This window comes from Homo sapiens, chromosome 1 (assembly GCF_000001405.40).
Source record: "Homo sapiens chromosome 1, GRCh38.p14 Primary Assembly".
NCBI classification, from domain to species: Eukaryota; Metazoa; Chordata; class Mammalia; order Primates; family Hominidae; genus Homo; species Homo sapiens.
In genome coordinates this window covers 228,914,878-228,921,468 of record NC_000001.11, presented here as the reverse complement: position 1 = coordinate 228,921,468, position 6,591 = coordinate 228,914,878, and the positions used below count along the sequence as shown (strand labels likewise).

Here is a 6,591-nt window from a genome sequence, read left to right as displayed (position 1 = left end):
ATTCATGGTTACCCTGCATTTGGGGAAGGGGGCAATGGGGGCTGTCATTAGGCTATCTCTGTAACTGAGGCCAAGAGCTATGACTTTTTCACACTGGCTTCTCATGGTTCAACAGCATCCTCACCTAAAGGCAAAATATGATGGAGATGGAGGTGGGGGAGAGCAGGGAGGGGGCTCCTAAGGGGGAGGGGAACCCAGGACAGCAAGGATAGAGAGGGTCACAGCAAACATCACTTTTCATCTGTCCCTGGCTGCCTCTGCACTGAAAACTCCTTCCAGTCTCCCCAAGGGATAAGTATTGAGAAGTTTCCATCTCATTAACCACACAGTGGACCCAAAGGAAGGCCACGTCCACCTCCCAGGGCCAAACAATCCCACAGCATCAGGGGTCCCTCCGCCTCTCCCTGCTCCTGAAGCAAGTGCATGAGGCCGTTTAGCAAGGCATCCTCCTGGAGTTGCAGTCAAATGGCTCATGTCCAATCCCCAGCTCACAGGAATGTGACCAACACATCTGCTCTAAAAACTTCCAGAGTCCTTGGTGTTCTTTTTTATTCTTTTAAGCTGTAAGTTATGCCCTCCAGCTTACCTGCCCTCCACACGTTGGAGAAGGGCACATATCTCACCTCCAAGGGAGTGGTCGTGAGTGTGAAGAAAGAGTTTCAGAATGGATGGGAGAAAATAGGGAATTAACAGAGAGGTTTTAAAAATACTTAGTACAGATTTTTCTTAATGCAATCACATCATTCATTTTTAACTTATGACTTGCTGGAAGAGCTTCCAAAGTCAGCAGTCTGAGCATTGCCTGGGTTAGTAGAAGAGGGAGGCTTTCGGAGGAGGATTGCAGTGGGTTCCCTCTCCCTGCCCATCTCTGTATGGGTCCCTTCCCCAGGGTCTCTCCCTGCCCTTCCCACTGCTTTGAAAGGAGACTGACCCATGAGGCTGCTCCAAGTGTGAGTGACCCAAATGAAGCCATCCCCTTCCCAGCAGGAGAGAGAGAGGAGGGCACTGCTTCCCCCCGGGTTTTCATCTGATTTTCTCAGCGGATGTGGAAGTGCCCTTTCTTATCATTCTCAAATGGCTGATGGGAGAAGCCATGGCTGGGAGACTGGGTAAGGGGTGGAGCAGGGAAGGCTGGCTCCGCATGGGAGCCTACCCGCCTGTGCCCGCTCACTTGGCCAGCAGCACTGGAAGGGAGAGTTTTTAAATGGGGGGTTTAAATACTCATGTTCTCACTTATAAGTGGGAGCTAAATATTGGGTACACATGGACATAAAGATAGGAACACTAGACACTGGGGACTACAAGATGGGGAGAGAGGAAGGGGGGCAAAGGCTGAAACCCCACCTACTGGGTGCTAATTGCTCACTTCCTGGACAATGAGATCATCCACACCCCAAACCCCAGCATTGCAAAATATATCCAATGTAACAAACCTGAACATATACCCCCTGAATCTAAAATAAAAGTTGAAATTATTTTTTATTACAAAGAAAAAACCATTTTAATGGGTTTTGGTGTACAGCAAATAAATGAACACAAAGAGTGTTATATAATTTTATTAGAAAGTTTGACTAATTAATCATAGAAATAAATGGGCAGCATTTTTAACCAATAAATAGAAGATGTGAATTCTTTTCAAATACCAGACAAAAGTATTAATATGTTAAATGGAAAGTTTTTAGGACTAAAAACTGTTACTGAATTAGAGACAGAAATTCAACAGGCCATATTTTCTGAACACCGTAAATGGCAGTAAAGTATCAATTAAAATGTAAACAACCAGTAATTTCAAGACACAAACAAATTTCATTTAAGACCTTCTAAATTAACTGCTGCATTAAATGGAAAATCTAAACTGAGGTTATTTTTAATGAGTCAAGGAACTTCTAATTTAGCAGCATGGTGCTGAAGACCTGAGTTCAAGTAAATAATTCTACCAATATTAGCTTAGCGTTATGGAACAAGAGGCATTCTGACCACATATAATTATTATTCTCTGCAGTGTAGTATTGTCATTTAGGAAACAGATGCAAAATGTACGATTAAATGTCTAGGATTTAAAAAAACACAAATTAAAATATAATATAGGTTTTATTATGATTCAGGTGTGATGGGGCCAACAGATCAGGAGACAACTGCCATGAAAAAGACAGCTTGTTACTCACAGTTCCCATGAGGAGGGGCTGCATCGCACCGAGTGGGCCATATAGGGAAGCACCACGGTGGGCCAGAAGGCAGAAGGAAGGGGGCTATGGGCCAGAGCCTTCATTGTGGTTTTTGTGAGAAGTGTGTGAGGCAGGGTAAAAAGGCTTAGGATTGGCTAGTCTGAATAAATTTCAACAGGCTCTGGGGCATAGGGCTGTTCTTAATCTGTACCTGGTCCTGGGGTGATGAAGGCAGGGGACAGTGGCCTAGAATGTAAAAGCCCCATAGAGGAGCTGCTGAGAGGCTGGGCCCTGCTTCGGTTGGTTTGCATAGGAAAGGCATGCTTGCAGCTTGCAGGTGAGCCCTTTGCTATCTCCAGGGATTGGTTGGCCCTGGGAGGGGCAGCCCCTCCAGGGTCAGCAAGACCCCTGATGTCAAAGCATCAGAATACAAAAAACAAAAGGCATGGGTAATACAGAGAGGCAGGCTCTTGGCTGAATACTCTGGGATCTCTGTTGAGGGTATTTCTGCATCCAGCCAGGCTGAAGTCAGCCTGAAGAGTTCTGTTCCTAATGGGCACATAGAGCAGAAACATTCAGTGGGAGAGCATCTCCACAAGATGCAGAACTATTGCCCCAACCCTACTTCTCCTAAGGTTCCCTGGGATTCTTCAGCGACAGATTTATCAGGTCAGTGTTCCAGCCTGTATCAGCCACACCACTTCACACCTTTCTGAAAGAGTGAGCGGGCCCATCAGCAGGGGCCAGCAGCCAACAGGCATTGACAGCTCTGGGTCAAATGTCACTGGTGGTGTTTGCAGAACAGTCCAATGTGACAGCCCCCTGTATCGAGTCCAGGATGGCTGCCCTTGTGTTTCCTTCACAGCCTCTATCCTGTACTTTTCTCCCAGGAAGGAAGAGCTCAGCTAATCCTATGATTTTGTAGCCTAGCTTATTTTCTAAACACATACCGGAAACAAATGACAGACTTGTTCTTTGGTCAGCCTCATATCACAGGCAGAGGCCCAACCAAAATTCATAATTGCAGCTTGAATTATACACAGCGCTGCACCACCCGTCCCGCACTTATGGAGAACTGTGAAGAAAAACACACACGAGCACAGAATAGGTGTCATTGGAGGATCTGGGATGGTTACTGAAAGCATCGCCTTCCCCACTGAGCTGCTAGAAGGTAGCATATAGAGGCCCTTGTCTGCTCCAAAAAAAACAAGCCCTTGTTTCATCTCTCCCTGCTCTGTCCAGCCCCACCCAACCCCGATCCCTCCCAGACGCATGCCAGATGCATCCTGATGAATGTCATCCCATGATCAATGATCCCCCCACTGTGAACAAACCCCAACCCATTTATTCTGTGGTTAATCCATGTTTTAATAGGTGTAATGATTCAACTGCCTCCACTAACAAATGAGTTCACTGGAATGTAAGAATTTGAGTGGATCCATTAGAAACATCTGTGGATAGACACAGACCCATGGCATACATCCTCTATACATTGAAATGCAGGCAATGCAAAGATGAAGAGAAAAGATGTCAGAGGCAACAAGCACAGACGCTCCCCCACTGGGTTAGAGTTCTGGCCTGAAGTGGGGCCATCTCAGGCACCCACACCTGTGTCTGCTGTGCAGTCCTCTAGGACTCCCCTGGGAGAGTTGTCGGACATGCCCCAGGGCCAGCTCCCTGCCTGCCCTTACCTTACCTTCGATGGCATGTGGTCATTTCAAGGTGCCGTCTCTGTTTCAGACCCAGCTCAAGGTCAGCGCTCGTAGGCCCTGGTATCCGTGTCCGTGGCCGTGTCAGCACAGTCCAGATCCAGCATGCCCCTCACTGTCAGTCACTTCCTCTGCCACAAGCCCCCTTACCGGTCATTTTCTTTTCTGCACAAGAAGCATTTTCCTCACTGTCCCTGTGCTGAAGGCCCCTTCCATTATTGCTTTCCAAATTTTTGAGAGTCAGGGTCTCAGTCTGTCACTCAGGCTGGAGTGCAGTGGTGCAATCATGGTTCACTGCAGCCTCAACCTCCTGGGCTCAAGCAACCCTCCCACCTCAGCCTCCTGAATAGTTGGGACCACAGGTGCATGTCACCACTCCCAACTAACTTAAAGAAAATAAAATCTGTAGAGATGGGGTTTCGCCACATTGCCCAGGTTGGTCTCAAACTCCTGGGTTCAAGCAGTCCTCCCGCATTGGCCTCCAAAAGTTCTGGGATTATAGGTGCGAGCCACTGTGCCAGACTCACTTTCCAAATTTTCAATGTCTTCCCTGATAGCCACTTACTTTCCTATCCTAAATTCTAACTTGGCCCATTCCCACTACTGTGAAGAAACATGAACATAACTCAATCCAGTTTTGACCAGTCTGACTTGGTGCAGCCCATGCTCTCTCTCATGCTAAGCTTTCTGGGGAGGCAGCTAGATACCAAACCATTCTATGGTCATCCTTTGCTTCATATTCCCTACCTGGCCCCCTCCACCTCCCTAGCCAAAGGAGGCCAGGACAGCTATGAGAAGATTGCATTTAGAGAGAATGACCACACATTCCTCCTCTGTCTTCCCTGCAGTGTCACTGTTAAAGCAACAGTCACTGTCATAAGAATAAACGTGTACTGGGGACCAGCACAGTGGCTCACACTGTAATCCCCACTGGAGCCCAGGAATTCAAGACCAGTCTGAGCAATAGAGTGAGGCCTTTTAAAAGTGTGTTGGGGGACGTAAATGAAAAATATATTCCTTCAGACTTCTGAACTTTTGCATTTGCCGTGTCCTGTGCTGGAAATGCCCTTTTTACCTCTTGACTGGGGGTGGGGGAGGTCTTGTTCATTTAAGTTCTAGTTCATTTAAATAACCAGTTAAAATCTTACCTTCTGTGTGGAAACTGCCTCCAGCCTCCCTTCAGGAGGTCGCTGCATCCCCCTCAGCATCTGTGCTGCGAGGCCTTCTCAGACCATCTCCACTGTGGTTGTGCCTGTGCCCCTCGTTAGGCCGTTCTTTCACTGCTATAAAGAAATATCTGAGACTGGGTACTTTATAAAGAAAAGAGGTTTAGTTGGCTCATGCTTCTGCAAGCTTTACAGGAAGCATTGCGCTGGCATCTGCTTGGCTTCTAGGGAGGCCTCAGGAAGCTTACAGTCATGGTGGAAGGTGAACAGGGAGCAGGCACGGCACATGGCAACAGCAGGAGCAAGTGAGAGAGAGTCAGGGGTGGGGCGAGGTGTCACACACTTTTTTTTTTTTTTTGAGACGGAGTCTCGCTCTCTCACCCAGGCTGGAGTGCAGTGGCGCGATCTCGGCTCACTGCAAGCCCCACCTCCCAGGTTCATGCCATTCTCCTGCCTCAGTCTCCTGAGTAAGTGGGACTACAGGCACCTGCCACCATGCCCGGCTAATTTTTTGTATTTTTTAGTAGAGACGGGGTTTCACCGTGTTAGCCAGGATGGTCTCAGTCTCCTGACCTCGTGGTCTGCCCACCTCGGCCTCCCAAATTGCTGGGATTACAGGCGTGAGCCACTGCGCCCAGCCAGGTGTCACACACTTTTAAACGACCAGATCTTGTGTGAACTCAGAGCAAGAGCCCACTTATCACCAAGAGGATGGCCCCAGCCATTCATCAGTAATCTGCCCCCATGATCTCATCACCTCCTGCCAGGCCCCACCTCCAACACTGGGGATGACATTTCAACATGAGATTTGTGGGGGACAAATATCCAAGCTTGGAGACTGGGAGTGCTGCCTAAATCACCTCTGGCTCCCCAGAGCCTGCCCCAGTTCACCCAATATCTTAGGCCTCAATGACTGTTTATCATGCAGGTGAAAGGGGACAGAGAAAGCAATAGCCATTGCCAGTGGGGTGGGCAGTGCAGTGGGGTGGAGTAAGAAAGAGTAACTTAACCCCTCAGTGCCTCAGTTTTCTTATCTGTGAAATAGGTATGACAGTGGTAATACCTGTGTCCTGGTAGTGGTTGTGAGAATTAGATAAGTAATAAACACTTAAATTGATGCCTGGAATTGGCACCTAATCAGTGCTCAGTGAGCAATAACTCCCATTATCTTAGAGATATAGATAAGGTACTTAAATGAGCCAACTTTGATTACTTAAAATAATGAGGCATGCAGTAAGATGGTTATCTTTAAAATCTAAGGCCCACGTAACCAGTCGTTTCAAATATTTGTTTTTTCAAGCTATCCTGTGCCCTCACTTCCCACTTTCCTTTCCTCCAATGGTGAAATGATCAAAAGTGGTATAGAGGGGGCTGGGGCTTGAGGGTAAAGGTAAAAATGAGATTTGGAATAGTGTAAAAACAGCCTGGTCAGCCCCTAAGTTGTAGAGAGTGCACAGGACACAGAACAAGGTGCTCGAGGCACAGGTTAGAGGGCCCCTTTACACCCCAGCTCTACACAAATGTGCACTGTGCTTAGACAAGTCATTTCCT

General features: G+C 47.7%; 1 annotated feature.

Moving 5' to 3' along the window:
* Window positions 2,027–2,527: an enhancer, noted in NCBI's record as "H3K4me1 hESC enhancer chr1:229054689-229055189 (GRCh37/hg19 assembly coordinates)". NCBI's record gives its function as "activates a minimal SCP1, AML or CMV promoter by ChIP-STARR-seq in primed H9 embryonic stem cells {active_cell/tissue: H9 hESC(primed)}" and the evidence as "EXISTENCE:reporter gene assay evidence [ECO:0000049][PMID:30033119]".